Source organism: Homo sapiens, chromosome 11 (genome assembly GCF_000001405.40).
Source record: "Homo sapiens chromosome 11, GRCh38.p14 Primary Assembly".
Taxonomy (NCBI): domain Eukaryota; kingdom Metazoa; phylum Chordata; class Mammalia; order Primates; family Hominidae; genus Homo; species Homo sapiens.
This window is the reverse complement of record NC_000011.10, coordinates 108,154,204-108,181,187: the sequence shown is the minus strand read 5'-3', so window position 1 is coordinate 108,181,187 and position 26,984 is coordinate 108,154,204. Positions and strand designations below refer to the sequence as shown.

At 37.8% G+C, this 26,984-nt stretch overlaps 1 protein-coding gene across 3 annotated transcripts in view, besides 3 other annotated features; it reads left to right on the top strand.

Annotated features, from left to right (window-relative positions):
• The window catches only part of NPAT (nuclear protein, coactivator of histone transcription), a 65,424-nt gene extending 41,451 nt beyond the window's left edge, over window positions 1–23,973 (top strand). Inside the window, exons 11-18 of one of the 3 annotated variants that reach the window (NM_002519.3) lie at window positions 4,098–4,194; window positions 4,814–4,942; window positions 7,337–8,989; window positions 11,145–11,260; window positions 11,336–11,444; window positions 19,008–19,068; window positions 19,174–20,308; window positions 22,169–23,973. In NM_002519.3, the coding sequence (NP_002510.2) occupies window positions 4,098–4,194; window positions 4,814–4,942; window positions 7,337–8,989; window positions 11,145–11,260; window positions 11,336–11,444; window positions 19,008–19,068; window positions 19,174–20,308; window positions 22,169–22,246 (3,378 nt within the window). In that variant the 3' untranslated portion in view covers window positions 22,247–23,973. Of the gene's footprint in view, window positions 1–4,097; window positions 4,195–4,813; window positions 4,943–7,336; window positions 8,990–11,144; window positions 11,261–11,335; window positions 11,445–19,007; window positions 19,069–19,146; window positions 20,309–22,168 lie in introns of all 3 variants that reach the window. The other 2 variants (NM_001321307.1, XM_011542854.3) reach the window with 2 other exon arrangements.
• Window positions 3,861–4,005: an enhancer, noted in NCBI's record as "145 bp 11:108047982 sequence used in MPRA reporter constructs". NCBI's record gives its function as "activates a minimal TATA-containing promoter with rs1519074 allelic activity by MPRAs in C283T melanocytes {active_cell/tissue: C283T}" and the evidence as "EXISTENCE:reporter gene assay evidence [ECO:0000049][PMID:36423637]".
• Window position 3,933: a transcriptional cis regulatory region, noted in NCBI's record as "rs1519074 or 11:108047982 MPRA-significant variant associated with a GWAS melanoma risk locus at 11q22.3". NCBI's record gives its function as "allelic transcriptional activity by MPRAs in C283T melanocytes {active_cell/tissue: C283T}" and the evidence as "EXISTENCE:reporter gene assay evidence [ECO:0000049][PMID:36423637]".
• Window positions 6,049–6,128: a silencer, noted in NCBI's record as "silent region_3877". NCBI's record gives its function as "represses an Ori minimal core promoter by ATAC-STARR-seq in GM12878 lymphoblastoid cells {active_cell/tissue: GM12878}" and the evidence as "EXISTENCE:reporter gene assay evidence [ECO:0000049][PMID:35858748]".
• Window positions 23,974–26,984: the final 3,011 nt, after the last annotated feature.

The window sequence follows — 26,984 nt, the reverse complement described above, 5'->3', positions numbered from 1 at the left end:
CCAGCCAGTTATAGGCTCATTTAATCATAGTTACTTCTTTAAAGGTCTTATCTGCAAATACAGTCCTGTTGAGGTTGGGACTTCAACACGTGAATTTGGGAGGGACACAATTTGATCTGTAAAGCTCTTATTTACAACTCCTGATTTCCCCTTTTCCTATCCCCTGCCAACCACCATTCTACTTTCTGTTTTGATGAGTTTGATTGCTTTACATACCTCACATAAGTAGAATCATACAGCATTTACTTTATGTAACTGGCTTATTTCACTTGGTATAATATCCTCAAGGTTCTACATGGCCTGTGATGGGATTTCCTTTGTTAAAGGCTGAATAATATTCCATTTAATGTATATGCCACATTTTGTTTATCCATTCATGTATCAATGGACATTTAGGTTGCTTCTCTTGGCTATCATGAATAATGCTGCAATGAACATGGGTGTACAAATACGTCTTTGAGATCCTACTTTTAATTCTATTGGCATATACCCAGAAGTGGGATTGCTGGACCTGGTAATTCTATTTTTCATTGTTTGAGGAAGCTTTCTAATGTTTCTCATAGCAGCTGTACCATTTTACATTCCCACCAACAGTGTACAAGAATTCTCACTTATCTACATCCTCATCAACACGTGTCATTTTTTGTTGCTTTGATAGTGGCCATCCTCATGGGTGTCAGGTGATATCTCACTGTGCTTTTGATTTGCAATTCTCTAATGATTAGTGATGTTAAGCATCGTTTCACATGTATGCCTTTTTTGGATAAATGTCTGTTTAAGTTATTTGTTCATTGTTCAATCAGGTTTTTTGTTGTTGAGTTATAGGAATTCTTATATATTATGTGACTTACATTATTTTTTGAGACAGGGTCTCGCTGCATGCCCAGGCTGGAGTGATGTGGTGCAATCTTGGCTCACTGCAGCCTGAACCTCTTTGAGCTCAGGTGACCCTCCCACCTCAGCTTCCCAAGTAGCAGGGACTACAGGTGTGTGTCACCATGCCTGGCTAATTTTTGTATTTTTCACAGAGACAGGGTTTTGTCATGTTGGCCAGGCTGATCTAGAACTCCTGGGCTCAAGTGATCTCCCCACTTCAGCCTCTCAAAGTGCTAGGACTATAGGTGTGAGCCTCGGTGCCCAGTTGGAATTCTTTATATATTCTTGATATTAACCCCTTATCAGATAGAATTTGCAAACATTTTCTCCCATCCCATAGCTTGCCTTTCACTTTGTGTTCTTTGATCCGCATAGGTTTTAACATTGGATGTAGTCCTATTTGTCTATTTTTGCTTTTGTTGCTTGAGCTTTTAGTGTCAATCCAAGAAATCATGGGCTGTTTAACCTCATGAAGCTTTTCCCTTATGATTTCTTTTTATTTTATTTTATTTATTTATTTCTATTTATAGAGGTGAGGTCTCCCTATGTTGCCCAGGCTGGTCTTGAACTCCTGGACTCAAGCCATCCTCCTGCCTTGGCCTCCCAAAATGTTGGGATTATTGGTGTGAACCACCATGCCTGGCCTCCCTTATGATTTCTTTTTTCCCCTTTTCAAACGAGGATAAGCCACCCTTCCTTATGATTTTATACTTTTAGGTCTAACTCATAATAAATGGAAGATTTAAATGTAAGGCTTCAAAGTATAATATGAGTCCGGGCGTGGTGGCTCACGCCTGTAATCCCAGCACTTTGGGAGGCTGAAGCGGGAGGGTCACTTGAGGTCAGGGGTTCGAGACTAGCCAGTTTGAGACCAAAATTAGCTGGGTGTGGTGTCACATGTCTTTAATCCCAGCTACTTGGGAGGCTGAGGCAGGAGATTCACATGAACCTGGGAAGTGGAGGTTGTGGTGAGATGAGATTGCGCCATTGCACTCTAGCCTGGGCAACGAGAACACTCCATCAAAAAAAAAGTATAATATGAAATTTATAAGATGAAAATTAGCTCAAAATGAATGGAATATTTAAATGTAAATTTTCATATATGGTGTAAGGTAAGGATCCAACTTCATTATTTCGCATGTAAGTATTCAATTTTCCCAACTCTATATCTTGAAGACACTGTCCTTTCTGCATTGTATGATCTTGGTCCTCTTGTTGAAGACCATTCGACTACATTTTCCTGAGTTTATTTCTGATCTCTGTATTCTGTTTTATTGGTCTACATGTTTGCCTTTATGCCAGTACCATACCGTGTTGGTTACTATCAATTTATAATTAGTTTTGAAATCAGAAACTGTGAGATCTCCAAATTTGTTCTTCTGTTTCAAGATTGTTTTGGCTATTTTGCTTTTCTCTGAGATTCCATAGGAATTTTGTTTTTGTTTTTTTGAGATAGTCTCACTCAACTCACAGTTGCCCAGGCTGGAGTGCACTGGCACCATCTTGGTTCATTGCAACCTTAGCCTCCCAGGTTTAAGTGATTCCCCTGCCTTAGCCTCCCAAGTAGCTGGGATTACAGGCATGCGCCACCACACCCAGCTAATTTTTGTATTTTTAGTAGAGGTGGGGTTTCACCATGTTGGCCAGGCGGGTCTCGAACTCCTGACCTCAAGTGATCCACCTGCCTTGGCCTCCCAAAGTGCTGGGATTACAGATGTGAGCCACTGCACTGGGCCCAGATTCCATAGGAATTTTAAGGTAGTTTTTCCTGTTTCTATAAAATGCTATTGAAATTTTGATAGGGATTGCATTTAATCTATAGGTTTTAAATAGTATGGGAATCTTAGCAATATTAAATCTTGAAATTCATGAACACACACACACACACAAAAATAATAATAAGGTGCAAAATTAAGGAAGGAGTTAAACTGTATCTACTCCCTATTTCTCATACTCCCCCAGAAACACTGTTGTCAGTCATGAGCCCTCCCAGCAAGAAATCTAACTCAAAAGAACTAAAAATACAAATGGTTCTACAACATAATTCCATAGCTTAGCTTGTAGTTGACAAGCTCACCTCCACCATTGGTACAGGGCTTTTGAGGTAGGTTTTGGCATGTTACTTTTAAAGCTGAATAGATAAGGATTGGCAGCATTTAAGGAAAGCATTTTACATGAAGAACCCAGAGCAGACAGATAAAAGGGATAAAATAGATTTATATTGAAGGACCTATAAAGCAGTCTACAATAGAGTAATGTAAAGAAAGTAGATTATAGAACTTTATAGTATGGGCCAGGCACAGTAACTCATGCCTGTAGTCCCAGCAGTTTAGGAGGCCGAGGTGGGCGGATCGCATGAGCCCAGGAGTTCAAGACCAGCCTGGGCAACATGGCAAAACCCCATCTCTACTAAAAATATAAAAACTAGCTGGATGTGGTGGCACACATGTGTAGTTTCAGCTACTCAGAAGGCTGAGGTGAGAGGATCACCTGAGCTCGGGAGGTCAAGGCTGCAGTGAACTGTGATTGCGCCACTGCATTCCACTCCAGCTTGGGTGACAGAGTGACACCCTGTCTCAAAACAAAAAAAAAGGGAACTTTATAGTATGATTTTATTTCCATTTATATACGTATATTCATTTTATATCATTTTAATGTTTAGGAATATATTCACCAAAGTTCTTACCTCTAAGAAGTAGGATTAGGAAACACCTATCTAGTTTTGTTTTAATTTGTTTTAAATGAGCATGTCATTGGAAATTTTCTTGGAGTGGGGGAATGCTACTACATAAAAAGTCAGAAATAGTCGAGTGTCTGCTAATTATTTTGCTGGTATTAAATCATATTATTCACGCTGAGTACAGTGGCCCACATCTATAATCCCAGTGCTCTGGGAGGCTGAGGCAAGAAGATCACTTGAGCCCAAGAGTTCTGGACTACCCTGGGCAAGGTAGCAACCCCATCTCTATCAAAAATAATAATAATAATAAAATAAGCTGGGCATAGTGGTGCACTTGTAGTCCCAGCTACTCAAGAGGCTGAGGCAGGAGCATCAGTTGAGCCCAGGAATTTCAGGTTATAGTGAGCTACAGTGACTCTACCACTGTACCACTACACTCCAGCCTGAGCAAAAGAGTGAGACCCTGTCTTATATATATATAATATGTAAATATATATAAATTCAGTTAGAATCATGCCTTCACGCCACTCCTTTCTTGCAGAGTGAAATTCACATGTCTGAAGAAGCTATACAGGACATATTGGAACAGACAGAATCAGACCCAGCATTTCAGGCACTCTTTGATCTCTTTGACTATGGTAAGGAGACTATTTATTTCAAGACAGAAAAAAAAGGCTTCTACAATTTCTTTGGTAACTTAACCAGAGTGAATCAACATTCCCCAGAGTATCTAAAAAAGTTCTTGTTTTCATTTCATCAAACATTATATGGATATGTTAAAGGAGTGTTTGTTGTTTTGTTTTTAGCTGAGAAACTTTAGCTGTTAAAGTGGAGAGTAGTTTTGTTTTTTATTTTTGTGGCATTTTTGCCAGTCATCAGGGAATGTGTTGATGTCTACCACTATACAAATGTGTTAAACACAATTGAATCGTACAAAGGGAATACAAAAAATTGGCCATTGTCCTCAATCTTATGATTTAGTGCAGTAGTTCTCAAAGTATAGTCCCCCAAACCAACAATCTCAGCATTATCTGAGAACTCGTTAGAAAATGCAAATTACTGGGCTAAAGTTTAAGAAACACCTGTCTAGTGGGAAAATCTTTGTACTTGTAAATGATATTAAAAGCAACATTTTTTAAACATCCATAAAACCCTAAATCGAAGTTTAACATTTGCGTAATCACCAACAAGCTGTATTCATTGATGTTTATTTTTTGTTTTGGTCATTTAATTATTTCCATATTCCCTTTTTAACAGGCAAAACAAAGAATAATAAAAATATATCACAAAGTATTTCCAGTCAACCTATGGAATCCAATCCCAGTATAGTCTTAGCAGATGAAACTAATCTAGCAGTTAAAGGTTCTTTTGAAACAGAAGAATCTGGTAAGAATTTAATTTTGTTAATATCATCAATCCAAATCTTAATATTAGTCTCAAAATTCAAAGGCAGAAAATATTAATTTGGAAGTAGAAGTTGTTCAGATTGTTATAGGTCATTTTTGTATTTTTCTCTCTGTTAAAAACAATTATAAATCTTTGGTAGTTTGATTAAAAGAAAATTTACAGTATTCATTCTTTTACTATAAGCTTTTTTTGTTGGTGTGTGTTTGTTTTTTGAGACAAGGTCTCCCTCTTGTCATCCAGGCTGGAGTGCAGTGGCACAATCATAGCTCACTGCATGCAGCCTCAAACGATGCTCCCAGCACTTTGGGAAGCAGAGGTAGCATTACAGGTGTGAGCCACCACACTCAACCTCATTCCTTTATAATTCAATTCTTGACATGTACAATTTAGTATTAATGTTGTTCAGTTGCTCAAAAGTCTGTAACATTTATTTTTATTAAGGCACATGTTTTTTGTGCACCTGTTTTTAAATGTTATCACCTGCTCCCACCAGTAAAAAATCTGATGGCTTCCAGTGTTCATTCACATCCTGTCCTTGGAGAATCTCAGACTGTGTGCCTCCTTTAATTCCTCTGCCAACAATCAAGTCCAATTCTCCATTTCTTCTTAGGCTGAATTATAGTGGGTTGTGTTTTTTGCAGTATATATTATGTCTAGAAGATTGTGTTTCACTTAAGTTCTTCCCTGTACAAAGTGAAACTTGAAATTCCGTTTTCTGAGAAAGTCATCCTACTTCACTGAGGAACTACTTATCCTGAATTTATGTGGCCTCTATACAATTTCTACTGTTTTCCCCACAATAAGGATTCAGATGTGCTCTGTACTCAGCAGCAAGTGTCACATTTAACAGAATTAGAGTAGTCCCCCCTTATCTATGGGGGATATATTCCAAGCCCCCCAGTGGGTGCCTGAAATTGGGTGGTACCAAAGCCTATATAGTATTTACTGTTTTTTCCTTTTCAGGCATACCTATGGTAAAGTTTAATTTAAAGTTAGGCACAGTAAGAAATTAACAATAGCTAATAATAAAATGGGACAGTTATAACAATATACTGTAATAAAAGTTATGTGAATGTAGTCTTCCTCAAAATATCTTATTGTACTGTACTCACCTATTTTTAGGCTGGTTGACTGTAGGTAACTGAAACCACAGAAAGCAAAACTACAGATAATGGGAGACTGCTGTATATGCTAGTTGACATAAATGTTCTGGTTTTTAAAAAATATTTTTCATACTGATTCAAGTTAATGTTTTCTGTCCTAAATTGTGAATGCTGTATTGTTGTTTTCTGAAACACTTTTTCCAGGCCAGGCACAGTGGCTTATGCCTGTAATCCCAGCAATTTGGGAGGCCAGGGAGGGCAGATTACTTGAGGTCAGGAGTTCAGGACCAGCCTAGCCAACACGGTGAAACCGCGCCTCTACTAAAAATACAAAAGCTAGCCAGGTGTGGTGGCTGGCGCGCACCTGTGATCCCAGATACTCAAGAGGCTGAGGCAGGAGAATCACATGAACCCGGGAGGCAGAGGCTGCAGTGAGCTGAGAATCGCACCGCTGCACTCCAGCCTGGGCGACAGAGCAAGACTCTGTCTCAAAAAAAAAAAAAAAAGGAAATACTCTTTCCTTACTCATATCATACTCTTTTTTTTTTTTTTTTTTTAAGATCTTCTCATACAGTGCCTCCTTTATAATTTTTTCTCATGGTACCTTTTGTTCCTATGCTGTTACAGTTTTTACCATGCTTTCTTATGACTTTCTGTTCTATAGTTGGTTCCTTGACTAACCTCTCCAAGATTAGAGATTGGATCATTCATCTTTGTATCCCAGTAACCAAGTATGGTTGGTCTTCAGTAAATATGTGTTTAATGTTAAACAGTACACAATGAGATCAAGTGTCAATCATGCAAAATGTACTTGGCCCCATCTCACCTTTAAGAATATGTCAGATAAGTTGGGTGTGGTGGCTCATGCCTGTGATCCCAGCACTTTGGGAGGCCGAGACAGTAGATAAATTAAAGTCAGAAGAAATGTTAGAAGTTGAAAAGTTAGTGTTTCAAAATAAACTTCATTTTTGGAGCCAGTATGTTTTTTACCTATTGAAATATTAAACCTCTTTACTTTTTCCTTCTTTGTATCATCTGTCTTCCAAGCTTGGAAAACAAATTGACACTTGTGTAAAAAGTCATCAGTAACTAGAAAGTACCTGTAAATTTTTTGATACTCAGTAAATGGGAAACACAGCGTATCAGACTTCCACTTACTGGTATGCAAAGATGAGTTATTTTCTTGGCAAAATAAGTTTTATGGCAAAAATGACTACCTCAGAAGCTGAACATATTTACCATATCTGTCTACCTGCCTGATACTTTGCAGATGGTCAGTCTGGTCAGCCCGCTTTTTGTACATCCTATCAGAATGATGACCCATTAAATGCTTTGAAGAATAGCAACAACCATGATGTGCTTAGACAAGAAGACCAGGAAAATTTTTCCCAAATAAGTACCAGCATACAGAAAAAGGCCTTTAAAACAGCTGTACCCACTGAACAGAAGTGTGACATTGACATTACCTTTGAGTCCGTGCCTAATTTGAATGACTTTAACCAAAGAGGGAATTCTAATGCTGAATGTAATCCACATTGTGCTGAATTATACACCAATCAGATGTCCACTGAAACTGAAATGGCTATAGGGATTGAAAAGAACTCTTTGTCTTCAAATGTACCGAGTGAATCTCAGTTACAGCCTGATCAGCCTGATATACCAATAACTTCATTTGTTTCACTTGGTTGTGAAGCTAACAATGAAAACTTAATTCTCTCTGGGAAGAGTTCTCAACTTTTATCCCAAGATACTTCATTAACTGGAAAGCCATCTAAAAAAAGTCAATTTTGTGAAAATTCTAATGATACAGTAAAACTTAAAATTAATTTTCATGGTTCCAAGTCATCAGATTCTAGTGAAGTTCACAAGAGTAAAATAGAAATTAATGTGTTAGAACCAGTTATGTCACAGCTATCAAATTGCCAAGATAATTCTTGTCTTCAAAGTGAAATACTACCTGTGTCTGTTGAAAGTTCACATTTAAATGTATCTGGACAAGTAGAAATTCATCTTGGAGATTCGCTGTCTTCTACTAAACAACCATCTAATGATTCAGCATCTGTTGAGTTAAATCATACAGAAAATGAAGCTCAGGCATCCAAGTCTGAGAATTCACAGGAGCCTTCATCTTCTGTAAAAGAAGAGAATACTATTTTTCTCTCTTTAGGTGGAAATGCTAACTGTGAGAAAGTTGCACTGACGCCTCCAGAAGGCACTCCTGTAGAAAACAGTCACTCTCTTCCTCCAGAATCTGTGTGTTCTTCAGTGGGAGATTCTCACCCTGAGTCCCAAAATACTGATGATAAACCTTCTAGCAACAACTCAGCAGAGATAGATGCATCAAATATCGTCTCTCTCAAAGTTATCATTAGTGATGATCCATTTGTTTCCTCAGATACTGAACTTACCAGTGCTGTTTCTAGTATTAATGGAGAAAACCTGCCAACTATAATCTTGTCTTCTCCTACTAAATCACCTACTAAAAATGCAGAACTAGTTAAATGCCTATCTTCAGAAGAAACTGTAGGTGCTGTTGTATATGCCGAAGTAGGGGATTCAGCCTCAATGGAACAGAGTCTTTTAACATTCAAATCTGAAGACTCTGCAGTAAACAATACTCAGAATGAAGATGGCATTGCTTTTTCAGCTAATGTTACACCATGTGTTTCCAAGGATGGAGGATATATACAGTTGATGCCAGCCACAAGCACAGCTTTTGGCAATTCAAATAACATTCTGATAGCTACCTGTGTGACTGATCCAACAGCGTTAGGAACATCTGTAAGTCAGTCTAATGTAGTGGTGTTGCCTGGAAATTCTGCACCTATGACTGCTCAACCTCTACCACCTCAGTTACAGACACCACCAAGGTCAAACAGTGTATTTGCTGTCAACCAAGCTGTGTCACCAAACTTTTCACAAGGTAACTTTAATAACATAATTGAAATTTGTTTCTCTGGGTTGGGATCTAATTTCTTTTGTATGTGATGTTATTGACTGCGAAGTAATAACTAATGAGTAGATGGTATGAGAAAAGATTCTGAAATTTGTGATTACGCTGCTTCTTTATGCTAGCTAATTCAAACCTTTTTTATTTTTCTTAATCTGCTAGTAAGCTATGGGCTTTAGTGGTTTTTCTTTTTTCTTTTCACAAATACTTCTCAATCTATGTGCTAGTAAGTTACAATAAACAGAAAAGACAGACTAATTCATCACATAGTTGTATAAAACCCAATGTTGTGGGGGAGTTTTTAAAAATAGCTCTTATAGTCATGGTCTTCAGGGAATTCATCATCTTTTTGGAGAAATTTTCAAGAAAAACTTGAATTTCAGCCGGTTATGGTGGCTCACGCCTGTAATCCCAGCACTTTGGGAGGCCGAGGTGGGCCGATCGATCACCTGAGGTCAGGAGTTTGAGACCAGCCTCGAGAACATGGTGAAACCTCATTTCTACTAAAAATACAAAAAAATGAGCCAGGCATGGTGGCAGGTGCCTGTAATTACAGCTACTTGGGAGGCTGAGGCAGGAGAATCTCGTGAACCCAGGAGACAGAGGTTTCAGTGAGCCAAGATCATGCCATTGCACTTCAGCCTGGGCAACAAGAGCGAGACTCTGTCTCAAAAAAAAAAAAAAACTTGAATTTCTTCCTTTATAAAATCCTTTCTAATTGATCTCTGTCTTTAAAATCCTTTGTTTATGGCTGGGCTCAGTGGCTCATGACTGTAATCCCAGCACTTTGGGAGGCCGAGGCGGGCAGATCACCCGAGGTCAGGAGTTCAAGACCAGCCTGGCCAACATGGTGAAACCCCGTATCTACTAAAAATACAAAAATTGGCATGGTGGTGGGCACCTGTAATCCCAGCTGCTTGGGAGGCTGAGACAGAAGAATCTAAAGCTGGGAGGCAGAGGTTGCAGTGAGCCAAGATCGCACCACTGCACTTCAGCCTGGGTGACAGAGTAAGACTCTGTCTCCAAAAAAAAAAAAAAAAAAAAAAATCCTTTTTTCATAGGGGCTCTTGTGGCATTTATTGCGTGCTGTGTTATATGTAGTTAGTGATTGATATGCCTATCATATTGATAATTTTTTATTGTATGTTCCTCAGAGATAGTGCTCATGGCACATTTATTTACATTTCCTTATGTGTTGGTTCCCAAGCTTCCCTCTTTTCCCTTTTTGTTACATTATAGACATACAATAAAATTTCATTAAATATCAACAATTAGTATTAAACCTAATGGGTCTGTTTTACGTGCTGTTACAAATTACATAAAGGAGAGGTCAGAATTAATAGAGAATGTGGGGCTTGAGCTAAAGCTTAAAGAATGAAGGTAGGATTTGGAGTTAAAGCAAGGAAGTTTTTATAACTTATAAAATCTGTAAGTTATAAAGAGAAGCAGCACCAGCATAGACAGAGAGACCGTAGTAGGTTGCATGAAAATGAGGGGATCAACCTGACAGTAGTGTATTAGGCAAAAGTTTGTTTATGGACAGGACTAAATTACAGTAGCCACAAACTATGTTGTTGACTTCTGAGGACCATGTAGACATTGTAATTTTCCCTCCATAGTTTTGACCAGTTACGTGCTTACCTTACCCCCTTTTGATCAATACCATTGAGATATGTAATAGGTTGGGGTTACAAGTGTAGTCCTGGGTATAAATATTCAGTTGGGGTTGTAATTTTCTGGTGTAAGGTTCAGACTTGAAACATTCACCACTCATTTTCTAACTAGTTTCATTATTTCTAGAGGAATCCAGATATGATTGTAATATGATGTCTTGGCTGTAGAGTCTTATGCTTGATCAGCATGGTTCACTGACTGAATAACATTAAGACCACCTTAATATTTGGATTGACTTTTTCTTAATTTGTTAGCCTTGCTGTTTTTCCTAAAACTGTTTCAGTTTCGTTTTTTTTGTTTTGTTTTGTTTTGTTTTTGGAGAGTGGATCGTAAGGAAGAGGGATTGTTCATAGAATTTATTTCAAAGCAGTAATTAATTTGTGCCAAACATTTGTTTGTTTTGTGCCAAAACATTTCAGAGAAAATCTTTTTTTAACAAGAATTGTTTTTTTAGGATCTGCCATAATAATTGCCTCTCCAGTCCAGCCTGTACTCCAAGGAATGGTAGGGATGATCCCAGTATCTGTGGTTGGACAGAATGGAAATAACTTTTCTACTCCTCCTCGGCAGGTAAGATTTATGAACTGAAAATGGTGTGGTGATGCTTTTCAAGCTTAGTGTAATTAATGGCTTTTTCTCTTCCAGGTTCTTCATATGCCTTTGACAGCACCTGTATGCAATAGAAGTATCCCTCAATTCCCCGTCCCTCCAAAATCTCAGAAGGCTCAGGGACTAAGAAACAAGCCTTGTATAGGTACCATTTTTAATTTCATTAATGTTAACTTTATGTTTGTATGTTCATTTGTTTGCAGCAACACCTAAATGTTTTCTTTCTGAATACCTAAACCATTTTAAAACAAGTGATCACCCTACATTTGCTAGTAACAGATGTCATAATGCAGCCAACTGTTACTGAACAGCTTTGGTTCTGAGAAAATTGTCTCCTTTGTTGAATCTGTTAGCTTTTGCCCAGTAGTCCTTGGTTTGTTCTTTGCAGCTTCCCTAAATTAAGTATAGTCCCTATTTTTCCCAACAGCTTTCAAGTGTTTAATGAATGCCTCGTATAATTGTATGAGACTTTAGAGCAGTTCTTCTTGTAGTTTAGTGTGTATATGAACTATTTGGGGATTTTGTTAAATGCAGGTACTGAATTGATAGGTCTGGTACAGCACCTGAAATTCCTCATTTCTAACAGCTTCTAAGCAATGCCAGTGCTGCTGGTACTGGACCACACTTGAAGCAAGGCTTTAAAGTTTGCAAATTACCTTCCTGTGTTCCCTGTTTTAGCCATTGTCCCAACCATCTGTTTACTTGTGAAAAACCTGGTAGTCACTCTTAAAACACATTTTCCTCTCCTTCTTAGTTCAAGTATTTGTCATTTTTCATCTAAGTTGTATCAATAGTGTCATGTAGTCTCCCTTCTTTTAGTCTCTGTTGTTTCAGTTCACCTCATATCTGCTGGCTGAGTGACTTTTTTTCCCTAAAATACAAATCTGAATATGTTGCTTTCCTGCCTAAAAACTTTCAGCAACTCCCCTTTGCCCAAAGGATAAAATTGAAATTTCTCAGGGTGACATATGTGCATACATTTGTCATCTAGTCACTCTCGACCTCTCCATCTCATCTCTTACCACTTCCCAGCATGGACCCTTTGTACAAACTATAGTTGCTGCTCACCTTATACTTGGTGATCTTTCTTGTCCCTGTACCTTTTACCAATGCTATCTCTTCTACCTAGAATTCCCCCTTCTTACCCAACTCTTACCCTCAATCTGGTTCTTATTTATCCTTCGAAATTAACTTAAATGTTCCTAGGAAGCATTTTTAACCAGCGGTGGCTGAGGTGGATATTCCGGTTTTATTTTTTTCTTTAATTCTTAGTGATACCTATGCTACAGCACTTAACACATTACATTGTATTTCTTCTCAGTAGTCTGAGTATCTTAAATGCACTCATTATACAGAGAACTCAACTAACTGCTATCAAATCAGCCTTTCCTTAAACTAAACAGTATACATCTATTGATGTAGGCTTAAGTTGCATTTTGACTTATTGAGGCACCCTCTTAGACTTATGTCCTGTTATAGCTACTCTATATTATTTTTATGTTCTTTCTTATAACTAGTTCATTCCTTTTAATGGCCATTTGATATCTATCACTTGCATAAATGTATTTTATATATGTCCTATCAGTGGACTTTTCAGATGTTTTCGATGTGACATGCAATGATATGAGGAACATCTTTGTAAATGCCTCTGTGTGAACCCATATGAGAGTTTCTTTGGGGGCTTATTCCCAGAAATCTTTGGGTATACTGGGTATAATAGAGAAGAAGTATATCTTCTCTATGACCCAGAATTTCTGAGTCATAGAGAAGAAAATTTATACTTCTACCATTATTTTCCCTGCTTCCCTCACAACACTACCAATATTTGATACCATGTGATATTTTAACTTTTGCCACTATGATGGATTTAAAGTGGTAGTATCTCATATCATTCTTTTACTTTATTCTGATTACTAATAAAGTTTGGAATCTTCTCTTATAACTATAAATAATATTTTCCCTTCTGTGAATTGCTTATTCATATCCTTTTCCTACTTCTCTATTAAATTTCCTGTCTGTTGAGGTGTTATACTTTTATTAGTAACATATCACAGATGTCTTCACAGTCTGACACTTGTTTTTATCCCTTACAAAGTTGATACCAGAAAAAAACATTGGTGAGGTTAAGCATCCATTTATGATAAAAGCTCTTAAAGGCTATCTATAGTAAACATCATGGGTTCCCTTTAAAGCTGTGAATAACACAAAGATACTCATTCCCACCCTGTATGTAATAAGCCAGTGTTTCCAACACCAGTAAATTAATTATTAAGTAATCAGTTTTTTGCCCCACTGACATCTGATTATACTTCCACCATAAACAAGGTCCCATACATCCATACATATGTGGTTCCAGACAATACAGTAAGAAAATGGAGCTGGGCATGGTGGCTCATCCCCATAATCCCAGCACCTTGGGAGGCTGAGGCAGGAGGATTGTTTGAGTCTAGGAGTTTGAGACCAGCCTGGGCAATATAGTGAGACCACATCTCTAGAAAATAAATTTTTTAAAAGTAGCCAGCTGTGGTGGCAGATAGTAGTCCCAACTATTCGGGAGGGTGAGGCAGAAGGATTGCTTAAGTCCAGGAGGTTGAGGCTGTAAGTAAGCCATGATCATGCCACTGCATTCCAGTCTGGGCAACAGTGAGACCCTGTCTCAGAAAAGAAAAGAGATAGGTGTAAAGATTTGAAGAGAGGGAATTAAACTGTTATGGAAAATGATGTGATTTTTACACAATAAAGCCACAGGGAGTTAATAGAAAAATTAATAGAACTAATAATTCAGTAAAGTTGCCAGGTATGGTTAATTAAAATTGTGTTTTAGGTGCCAACAATAAACACCTATTAAGTGTTATACAAAATAAGATACTGTTTATAATGACCACAAAAATGATAAAGTATAAAGGAAGTAACCTAACCAAAAATGTTAGAAATGGAGAATATTTGAAATCTTTCATAAAGGATGTATAAATAGAAGAGAACCATGTTCATAGATTTGAAAATTTAACAGTGTAAAGATTGCAATTATTCCAAGTTGAATCAAAAATTCAATGTAATTTTCCTTAAAAATCCCAGTAGAATATTTTGGGAGATGGGAAAAACTATAAAATCTATGAGAAAGAATAAAAGTCCATGACTAGCCAAGATAGAAGAGCAGAGGACAGACTCATTCTACCAAATGGTAAAATATTGCAGAGCCACAGTAATTAAAACAAAAAGACAAATGGAACAAGATAGTTTAGAAAGAGACCTTGTACATGGTAATGTTAACATCAGAAGTCAGAGCAAGATGGATGGTATAATATATGAAATGTATTGATCATTAAATATACAATATATAGAGAAGAAAGTAGATCCCTTCCTCATACAAAGATGAAGTCCAAGATGATTAAAGACCTAAAAGTAAAAAGTCAAACAATTAAATGATAGAAGAATGTATAAGAGAATATTTTTATGACATTAGGATAAAGGATTTATTTATTTTTTTATTTTTTTTTAGATGGGAGTCTTGCTCTGTCACTCAGACTGGAATGCAGTGGCATGATCTCAGCTCACTGCTACCTTCGCCTCCCGGGTTCAAGCGATTCTTCTGTCTCAGCCTCCCTTGTAGCTGGGATTACAGGTGCATGCCACAACACTCAGCTAATTTTTGTATTTTTAGTAGAGACAGGGTTTCACTATCTTGGCCAAGCTGGTCTTGAACTCCTGACCTCTTAATCCCCCCACCTCGGCCTCCCAAAGTGCTGGGATTACAGGCGTGAGCCACCACGCCTGGCCTGGGATTTCTTTTTTTAAAATGAGAAGACTTTGGGCACAATGGCTCCACTCCTATAATTCCAGCACTTTGGGAGGCCAAGACAGGTGGATCACTGAGCCCAGGAGTTTGAGATCAGCCTATGCAACATAATGAGACTCTGTCTTTACAGAATTTTTTTTTAAAAAATTAGCCAGGTATGGGCTGGGCGTGGTGGCTCACGCCTGTAATCCCAGCACTTTGGGAGGCCGAGGCAGGCGGATCACAAGGTCAGGAGATCGGGACCATCCTGGCTGATACGGTGAAACCCCGTCTCTACTAAAAATACAAAAAATTAGCCAGGCGTGGTGGTGGGTGCCTGTAGTCCCAGCTATTCGGGAGACTAAAGCAGGAGGAGAGTGGTGTGAACCTGGGAGGCGGAGCTTGCAGTGAGACAAGATCGTGCCACTGCACTCCAGCCTGGGCGACAGAGTGAGACTCCGTCTCAAAAAAAAAAAAAAATATTAGCCAGGTGTGGTGGTGTGCACCTGTAGTCTCAGCTACTTGAGATGCTGAGGTGGGAGGATCACTTGAGCCCAGGAGGTTGAGAGTGCAGTGGGCTGTCCTCATGCCACTACACTCCAGCCTGGGCAATAGAGCAAGACCCTATCACAAAAAAAAAATATATATATATATATATATAAATACATATGTGTGTGTATATATTAATAGAAGAAAATAAAAGAAACTGGGTGCAGTGGCATGTACCTGCAATCCTAGCAACTTGGGAGGCTGAGGCAGGAGGAATGCGAGCCCAGGAGTTTGAGACCAGCCTGGGCAACATAGACCTGTCTCAAAATAAATAAAATTTAAAAATGAGAAATACATAACTTATAAATGGAAAAAATTGATAGAGTGAACTACTCTAGAATTTAAAGTTTCTGTTCAACAAAAGACACCATACACAAAATAACACCAGATTTTTACTCAGAACCTTGATGACTGTGTTACCTGGTTCTCAGACTTCTCTCCCTACATTTTTTCATCATTGTGAATGACAAAATGCCCATGTTGTAAATCTACCCACCACCCTAACCCTCAGAGTTTATCCTTTCCACTCCTTATTTATTTATTTATTTTATTTTTGAGACAGAGTCTTACTCTTGTCGCCCAGGCTGGAATGCAGTGGCAGTCTCAGCTCTCTGCAACCTCCACCTCCTGGGTTCAAGCAATTCTTCTGCCTCAGCCTCCCGAGTAGCTGGGGCTACAGGCACGCATCACCATGCCCAGCTATTTTTTGTATTTTTAGTAGAGACGGGGTTCTCCGTGTTGGCCAGGCTGGTCTCGAACTCCTGACCTCAGGTGATCTGCCTGCCTCGGCCTCCCAAAGTGCTGGGATTACAGGCATGAGCCACTGCGCCCGGCCTAGATCCTTTCCACTACTAAGACTTATTTTTACTTCAGCCAACCTCTCCTATAGCCACACCTTGAATTTTTCACCTTTTTATTAGACTTACAAGATTTTTAAAGGCCAGTGATGTGTCTCAAAACACACTTGTTTCCATATACCCATTGAATTCCTCTTCAACCAGTGATAGCTTTTCTTACTTGAATCCTCACCTTTTACCTGAACTTGTGTCTTCTTTCCGGATTCACTTCCTTTACTAAACAGCCTAGAGCCCACAAGCCACCACATCAGCCACTTTGGCCAGTTTTCTTAATAACCTACATATCCACATTCTTCTACATAGCCACTAGCTACTCTATAGCCCTTGATCTGTCCAGCCAGCCATCTCAACTTTTACACCTGGGCTTCTTAGCATTGCCTTAGAAGTGCTACCATTCCCTACCACTTAAAAAAAATGTATTTCTCACCCACCTTCCACTTGGCAATCATTTTAAATATCTGCGTGTCTGCTTTCTCTTCTGTTCCTCCTTCAAACTATTCCAGTCTTGCACAACACGTCTCAAATCTAGTCCTGCTCCTCCTCACTCTTAGCTAGTGGTTTTATTTTCCATCTTACCAGTATTAAACTTCACTTTCTGATCATCACTTTCATTCAGTACATAACCTATTCTGCTTCCAAAATCATCCTTCTTTCTTAAAGAAATAACTGTCCTTCATTCTTTCTAAGGTTAATGCAGTCTACATGTGCTCCAGTTTCTTATCTTCTATATATGTTTCAACTTTTCCTGTTTGGCTTCTCTCCCTGGCTATAAACATAGGTTTGTCCCACCTGCTGACTTTTTATGTTAATCTCTTAACCTCTCTTAATCTTCCATTTCTTCATTCAAATTACTGTCTTTTCTCATGCATCTACTGAAACTGTCTACACTAGAGTCACCAGTGGCCTCCTAATATTGCATTATGCATTGAAACTTTTCCATTCTTACCTTACTTTGCTTTCTCTATAACTGTTGATACTATGGTGGCTTCTGGAGCCATAACTAAACTATTCTCCACCCTTGCTAATTTTGTGTAACTCAAGGCCTTCAAACTACATATTTCTCACCTCTCTTCCTCAAAGACTTCTTCTGCCTAGTGTTTTTCCCCTTGGTTAATGTCACAATTTATTTTTTTCCTTTACTTTTGGAAATGTACATGCCCATTATTGTCTCTCAGACCCTCATCATCTCTTACCTGGAATATAGCCATCTACATAGAGTTTCTACTTCCAGTTTTCTGTCTTCTCAGTTCCATCTTCCACATTATTGCCAGATCTTCCAAAGACATAAACCTATTCATGCATCTTCCCTATTTAACACCCTTAAAGGGGCCGGGCATGGTGGCTCACTCCTGTAATCCCAGCACTTTGGGAAGCCGAGGAGGGTAGATCACCTGAGGTCAAGAGTTTTGAGACTGGCCTGGCTGACGTAGTGAAACCCCTTCTCTACTAAAAATACAAAAATTAGCCAGGCGTGGCAGCGTGCACCTGTAATCCCAGCTACTCGGGAGGCTGAGGCACTAGAATTGCTTGAACCCAGGAGGTGGAGGTTGCAGTGAGCCAAGATCATGCCATTGCACTCCAGCCTGGGCAATAGAGCGAGACTCCGTCTCAAAAATAAATAAATAAATAAATAAATAAATAAATAAATCTCTTAAAGGATTGCCTCTGAAACCTTTTGCATAATATGTAAGTTTCTTCATAATCTCATCTTTGCTCTTCTTTCTAGTTTTGATATCTTGCTGCTCTCCCACATAAATGCTGAAGCTCGTGGAAATTAAAATATGGCTATTAGAACTCCAGAGCATGTGCTCTGAGTGACATAGGCTTGTAAACATGATAGGTACCGGGACAGAATTTTAAAATAGATATAATCTGTTGTTTTCTTTAAGTGACTACCTGGATGTAAGTAGTACATTATGTGCTATATTGAGCATTGTAATTTGTAGATCCAAAGACTGGATTTATAATATTTGCCTGAACCGGGCGCGGTGGTTCACGCCTATAATCCAGCCTTTTGGGAGGCCCAGGTGGGCAGATCACTTGAGGCCAGGAGTTTGAAACTAGCCTGGCCAACATGGCGAAACCCCATCTCTACTAAAAATACAAAAAATTAGCTGAGCATGGTTGGGGGCGCCTGTAATCCCAGCTACTCGGGAGGCTGAGGCAGGAGAATTGCTTGAACCTAGGAGGCAGAGGTTGCAGTGAGCCGAGATCATGCCACTGCGCTCCAGCCTGGGTGATAGAGCATGACTCTGTCTCAGAAAAACAGACAAACATAATATTTGCCTGAAGTTGATGCATGTCATTTATTCCATATCTGGATTTCCTCTGTAGCAGTGGGGAAATAGCCATCTTGTACTTATTTCAAAGCTGCTTTTTAAAAGCTGCTTTGTCAACGTGTTCTATTTGTGTGTACATTAGCTACCATTTAAAATTTTTTCTCATGATATGTGATAATTGTCATCTGTTCTATCCTCTTTCAGAGGAGTATATTCTTTTTCTCAGGAATGTTCATTTATAATTTCAGGAAAACAAGTAAATAATTTGGTGGATTCGTCAGGTCATTCAGTTGGATGTCATGCACAAAAGTGAGTATAAAGTAGTTTCTATCATAGATTGTTTGAATGCTCAGATTTAAAACATAAAGGATTTCTTTATGCTGCTAGAAATAGTTTTGTTTTGTTTTGTTTTAGAACTGAAGTTTCTGACAAAAGTATTGCCACAGATCTTGGGAAAAAATCAGAAGAAACCACAGTTCCCTTCCCAGAAGAGAGTATAGTTCCAGCTGCTAAACCATGCCACAGACGTGTACTCTGTTTCGACAGCACTACTGCTCCTGTGGCAAATACGCAGGGGCCAAACCATAAGATGGTGTCCCAAAACAAAGAAAGGAATGCAGTCTCTTTTCCTAATCTTGACTCACCCAATGTGTCCTCCACCTTAAAACCCCCTTCTAATAATGCTATCAAAAGAGAGAAAGAGAAGCCTCCTCTGCCTAAGATTTTATCTAAATCGGAAAGTGCCATTAGCCGGCATACCACCATAAGAGAAACTCAATCAGAAAAGAAAGTTTCACCAACAGAAATTGTGCTTGAATCTTTCCATAAAGCAACAGCTAATAAGGAGAATGAATTATGCAGCGATGTAGAAAGACAGAAAAATCCAGAAAATTCAAAACTATCTATTGGGCAGCAAAATGGGGGTTTGCGAAGTGAGAAATCTATAGCTTCACTGCAAGAAATGACCAAAAAACAAGGCACATCTTCAAACAATAAAAATGTACTTTCAGTAGGTACAGCTGTGAAGGATCTAAAACAAGAACAAACTAAATCCGCCAGTTCTTTGATTACCACAGAAATGTTACAGGATATACAGAGGCACAGCTCAGTAAGTAGGCTTGCTGATAGTAGTGATTTACCTGTGCCCCGGACACCTGGCTCAGGGGCAGGGGAAAAACATAAAGAAGAACCTATAGATATTATCAAGGCCCCCTCTAGTAGGCGTTTCAGTGAAGACAGTAGTACATCAAAAGTAATGGTCCCTCCTGTCACCCCAGACTTGCCTGCCTGCAGCCCTGCCAGTGAAACAGGAAGTGAAAACAGTGTAAATATGGCTGCCCACACATTAATGATTCTCTCCAGGGCAGCCATTTCTAGGACTACTTCAGCAACTCCTCTGAAAGATAACACACAACAGTTTAGAGCATCTTCAAGGAGCACCACAAAAAAGCGGAAAATTGAGGAATTAGATGAACGTGAGCGAAACTCTCGTCCTTCTAGTAAAAATCTTACAAATTCATCAATACCAATGAAAAAGAAGAAAATTAAGGCAAGTTTGAAAGTTTTAATTTCAAAACCACACCTTTTTTTTCCGCTTTAGTGATTAGCGAATTCAGCAGTTCTTGCCACAACAACTTGACTGAACGTTATGGCTAAGACAGCTTTTAGTTTTCATTGACAAAATACATAACCATGATCACAGGACCAATAAGCAGTAGATGCAGGATTCAAACTCAGACTTGTAGGGCAACAAAGCAGTCCAGCAGTGTTAGTGTAGTACGCACAAGGTGTCTAGGTGAAACAGCATTTTCAGGAAAAACTGCTGAGGCATTTGTTTATAAACATCTTTCCGGGGGAAAAGAAAAAGTTTTTCTTTCTTTCTTGGTAGAACTCAAGTTTTTTCATGAGCGTGACATAGTCATGAAAGATTGGGAAACAATATTAAACACTATTGTGTAGAACTACCAAGTAATAAATGACTTTGTTCTTAGATGTTCAGTTTTTTTTTTCCCCCACGTCTTGTAATCTCTTCCATAGGCCCTTAAAAATGTTAGCATATTAGAGCAGTGGAAAAATCAAATTTACGTATGTTTTTCCATTTTTTTGAGAGAGGGTTTCACTCTCGTTGCCCAGGCTGGAGTGCAATGGTACGATCTTGGCTCACTGCAGCCTCCGCCTTCCAGGCTGAAGTGATTCTCCTACCTCAGCTTCCCAAGTAGCTGGGACTACAGGCATGCGCCACTGCATCTGGCTAATATTTTTTCCTTTTTTTTTTTTTTTTGAGACAGAGTCTTGCGCTGTTACCCACTAGAGTACGGTGGCGTGATCTTGCCTCACTGCAACTTCCGCCTCCTGAGTTCAAGCAATTCCCTGCCTCAGCCCCCTGAGTAGCTGGGATTACAGGTGTCTGCCACCACACCCAGCTAATTTTTGTATGTTTAGTAGAGATGGGGTTTCACCGTGTTGGCCAGGCTAGTCTTGAACTCCTGACCTTGTGATCCACCCACCTCGGACTCCCAGAATGCTGGGATTACAGGCATGAGCCACCACGCCTGGTCATTTTTTCTGGTTTTTTTTTTTTATAGAGACAGTCTTTTGCCATGTTGCCCAGGCTGGTCTTGAAGTCCTGAGCTCAAGTGATCTGCGCACCTTGGCCTCCCAAAGTGCTGGGATTACAAGCATGAGCCACTGCGCCTGGCCTTATGTTTTTTATTTAAGCATGGTTGTCTCTAGGAAGGCAGTGCAGGGATAGCATTGATAAATGAAATCCATTTATTTTCGATTTGGTTAGCTGTTTAGTAAGTGGATTGAATAGAAAGAAAGTGCTTAAAATATCATAGAGGAAGTATGGTATCAGGGAAATAATTTAGGCTTTGTTGCCCTACAAGTCTGGGTTTGAATCCTGCATCTACTGCTTATTGGTCCTGTGATCATGGTTAAGTCTGTAGCCTTTCTGAGTCTCAGCCTCATCACTTGACATGATATTACCAGGTATCTTAGGTTGTGAAGTCTAAATGTAGTATACATAAAGTATCTAGTGTATATTAAGTTTTGGAACTGATAAGTACCTGTAACCCTAAACATCTGTTAGTAAAGCTTTCTAAGCAGTAATAACCACCTAACATAGAAAGCATGTTCTATCTTGTCTCATTCAACATTCAGACACTCTGGATTTGTATCATGTCTTTTGCCATAAACTAACATTCAGGTGCCATTGAAGTATATTTAAGTAACTTTGGGTTTATAAAACTTGTCTCTACTTCTCTATAGAAGTAAAATTCTAATAGACTAAAAAAGTTTGACAATTTTAGTAGTATGTGAAAGAACCCAATATACTGTTTTAGGTGACTTACTAAGAAAGCATTTTGGCCTTGTTTTGAGTTTATTTTTTCTTTCTCTTTTTCAACAGAAAAAGAAGCTTCCCAGTTCATTTCCAGCAGGAATGGATGTAGACAAATTTTTGTTATCATTGCATTATGATGAGTAAACATTCTGGACACATAAGAACAGTAGGTGTTAAAAACTCATATCCCTTAAACTGAGTGTAGGGAATGGGATATTGACAGAATCTGAAAGCATGACCTGCACTTTCATTGTACTGAAACTTCACTTTATATCTAAATCATGCTGTTTCTGAAACAGCTTCCTAGTTTGTAAATAGACTTACTTGGTATATTTTTATTTTGGGAAAAACGTTTGCAGAAATGTAAGTAAAGCCAATCTGCAAAACTGTATAGCTTTGACAATTCCATATTGTAAATACTGTGTAAATCTTGTTGAAATAGAGGTTAAATCAACCTAATGTTCTTACACTGTGTTTTTTGACTTCTTATGATCCCTAATTCTGAGACTTACTCATCTGGAATAGTTTCTCACTTGTTTTGGAGGAAAATGATGCTTATTCTTATAAATTACCTTCAGTAACTATTCAATAAGACATTTAAATACACAATCACTAAGTACTACAAAATAATAACCACCTCAACTGATAGCAAAATATCTAATTAGAAATCAACAGTTTGATGAGTTTTTTTCCTAGAGTGAATACTACCCCTTTCTTATAATTGCTGTAAGTATTATATTTCTGGAATTTCACACTTTACCTACTCTGATCACTCTGTTCTCTTTGTTTTAAAGAGAGAATTTTGTAAACCATTTATTGAATGTTCTGATCTTTCATTTATAACTTAAGATTTTTTACAGAACTTTAAGTGGTTAGACTATTGAGCCATAAAATTTTGGTTTGTAGTAGAGATTTCTCGGTATGTACTTTTCCCCTAAATGCTGGGGATTTAAAGAATTGCACTAATTCATAGAACTCTTTACATTGTAGTGACCAATGCACATATAATTTAAATCTTGTGTTCTATGTGAGAGTTTATGTGGAGGATTATCTTCTGGTGTTGTGTCCATCATAAGATGTAAAAAGAGAAATCATAGTTTTATATTTTAGTTTCTCCTACAATGGGTATGTTAAATAACTATATCTATACTTAGATATAGTGCATTGTCTGTGTCCCTTAAAGTGTTACAAAGAGTTTCTCTCAAAAGGTCCTTAAGGAGAGTGAGAGATGAGAGAGGTGCCTTCTCTGTATTAGACTCACACACATCAGTCCAGTTGAAGAATTGGTTTAAACTTTTAAATGAGAACAGAAATTATAATTAGTACCTGACCAATTGTGCCTAGATATTAAAGTATGTTCTCTTTAGTACTTTCCGTTCAATTAAATATCAGTATATTAGGGATTTTTTTCTACAGGTGTATATTTTGTTGAAGAGTCACTTTCCTCAACCATTTTTTTGTACTGGGCCTTTAAAAAAATAAATCCATCCAACTTTAACACAACATTTCTCAGTGTAGAAATCATGTCTTCTTAATTGCTGAACCTTACTGCAAAAACTTGTGATGTAAGAAATTTGTATGGTGTGGCAGTGGTCTATTCCTAAGGAACTAAATATCATATAGTTAATGTTTATTTAACTCAGCTTGAGACTGTACTACAGTTAGGTTTGAATAAATATTTTCATTAACTTCAAAAGTTTGAATTACTTTACATTGGCAGTCTTGTTTAGAAACTGATTAAATTCCTTTGCAAGTCAGTTCTTTTTGGGAGTTTGTACAATGCTGAAAATCACAGTTTTCTTCTTATTCAATTCATAGTTGTATGTACTAAGCACTGAAAATTCATATACAAATAAAATAAGTTTACTTTCTTCAAGATTCATAGTTAACTAACCAGGAACTGCTAAGTAAAGTTGAAAGATAACTTGTACTTGGAGCTTTTATGTTCAAGAGCAAAATCATATCCCCATTTTACCTTAAAAGTCCACAGGTCCTGAACTTAATTATACTATTGTACCTGGTAACCTATTTGAATACTTAAATGCCCAGTGACTGCATTTCAGGGTTGATGTATACTACAACAATCCATGGCTGTTTTTATAATTACATATGAGGATCCAGTCTGTTGTTTGGATATTACTTAGAGGTTAATGCAGTCAGTGTATGCCAAATCTGAGAAGTGTTGTTAAGTAAAATCTTGTTACAGATTTAGCCCTGGATATATTAGAACTATAGTGTGTTGAAATTGCGCATAAGAAAAGCATCCATCAGCATTCATGCAAAGGCTACATGTCATGACTATTAGGAGTAATTTCAAAAGCATATTACTATATATTCTGCATTCATCCTTTCTCTGGTCATCATCTTTTAGGCTCAGGCCCAGCTTTCTGAAATTACATAAGTTTTGACTTTATTATTAGTTATTTTGCTGCTTCCTTTAAGCAATGGACTCATTGTGTACTTTTTTCTTTTTATAAATGTTATCATTTTGTCATACTTTTGTCTTTTTTTCGTAAATTTGTATCTACATTGTTGAACACATGGTACATATAGCTTCCTAATGCTTTTTGTTTTGTTTTTTTTTTTTTTTTTTGAGAGAGGGTCTCACTCTGTTGCAGGCTGAAGTACAGTGGCACAATCATGGCTCACTGCAGCCTCGATCTCCCAGGCTCAAGTGATCCTCCTACCTCAGCCTCCCGAGTAGCTGGGACCACAGACATATCCCATCGCACCCAGTTTTTTGGGTTTTTTTGGTTTTTTTGTTTTTTGTTTTTTGTTTTTGTCTTTCAGAGAGATGGGGTCTCACTATGTTGCCCAGGATGATATCAAACTCTTGGACTCAAGCAGTCCTCCTGCCTCGGCCTCCCAGGTGTTGGGATTACAGGCATGTGAGCCACCTCATCCAGCTGCTGCTTTTACTTCCAATAATATAAAGCTTTTTCCTTTTTTTAGCTATTACAAACAAAAACAGCAGTGAGCATTTTTATAAACATTTGTTTATGTTAACTATTTCCTTAGAAATTTTAGAGAGTAGAATTACCAAATCAAGAAGTTAGTGTACCTTTTTTTAAGGATCTCAGTACATTTTGCCATATGCTGCTATTAAACTTGCGTCAATTTACATTTCTACCAGCAAATTGTCATTTTTTTGCATAGCATATGCTTATCCATTTCCAGAGGCATATTCACCTATATCATCACCTGTTTCTAGGTTTGTGTTTCCTGATTTGGTAAAATTAGGAGTTAGCTCCTAATCCATTTGTTACTTGTTTTGGTACCTGATATGAAAAAAGGGTCAATGTACATTTTTTCCCTAAATATTTAACTGCTTGACAATTTGTTCACTTGACAATTTAACCACTGCACAGTTTGTTCAGATAAGCTTTCCTTTCCCCTGCTCATTTATTTAAGATGTCTGTCTTATCCTACACTGATTAACAATCTCTTATTCACAATTCTAAAACCCAAAAGGTTCCGGCAACCAATTTTTTTCCCCTAGATTTAACATCAGAACTCATTCTGTGGCAAACCTGACCTGAAATGACACGAGGCTACTTAACAGTCTTTATCTCATTTATAGTAATGTTGATTAGTCTGCTGTTCCAGACTCAACTGGGGGGCATATGGTGCATACATTTGAGTTATTTTTTAGAAATCCAAAATATTCTGATTTATGAACCCCAGCTAACCCCAAAGGTGTGTATGATCAAAGATTTTGGACTTGTATTAAATGTACACACATATATACACACTATATGGTATGTGTATCGTCTATTCTGTGCCACTGATTAAATCATTATAACTTTTGTGTCCACTGTTACTGTTTTTGTTTTTTCAAGTATTCACCCTTTTATGCTTCCTGGTGAACTTTAGAATCACTTGAATTATTTCAGGTTAAATTTCTATTGGAATATTTGAACTACATTAATGTCATAAGCTAATTCATAAAGAAGCAAAGGGTAACGATCATATGGTATGTATCAAAGTGTTATAGTTATCCCTATCAGAAATTTCTTGCTAAACTGGATGTTTTTGTTTGTTACTATTTTTAGAAAGCTCTTCATTTCATAGTTTTAACTGGTTATTGCTGTTATGTAGGGATGGTCTTGCTTTATTAATATAAAATTTTTATGGAGACACATAAAGAGAAAAGTGCACCACTATAAATTCATGCCCTTCAGTGAATTTTCTTTAAGTAAATACATCCACATAATCACTTTGAACATTACCAGTACCCTAGAGTAGTCATTATTGTGACTTCTGGCACCAGAGATTTAGCTTTGTTTTCCTTAACGATATCAGTGGATACATGGAGTATATAATCTGTGAGAAACACTCGTTTTGTATAATTCAGCTCAGTCATGCTCAATGCTGTGTATATATTCATTGTATTATATTACAGTTAATCCATTTTATAGATGGTAAAAGGTGCTTATTGTGAACAGACTGTGCTGTGAACATTCTTGCACATTTTTTTATGAATGCATTACACTTCTCAGTTGGATAAATACTTAGGAATAGGGTTGCTGGAACACAGTTGCATATATTCAGACATTCAGATTTTTTCATTTTCCAGAATGGTTGTAACAACTTATGCTGCACTCAACAGTATAATAAGTTCTCGATACTCTGTGTTATTTCTGATGTTAGATATTTTCATTTAGCCATTTTAGTGGTGTGTATTGGTATATGTTTTGGTTTTAATTTGGTGTTGGTTTTTTGGGTTTTGTTTTTTTTTTAATGAAGTTGAAAACCTTTTCAAATACTATTTGGGTTATCTTTTGTGGACAGTCCAAGGTTTTTGCCCATTTTAGTATTGGGTGTCTGCCTTTTTCTTACTGATTTTTACGTGTTCTTTCTGTATTCTGGATACAGGTCCTTT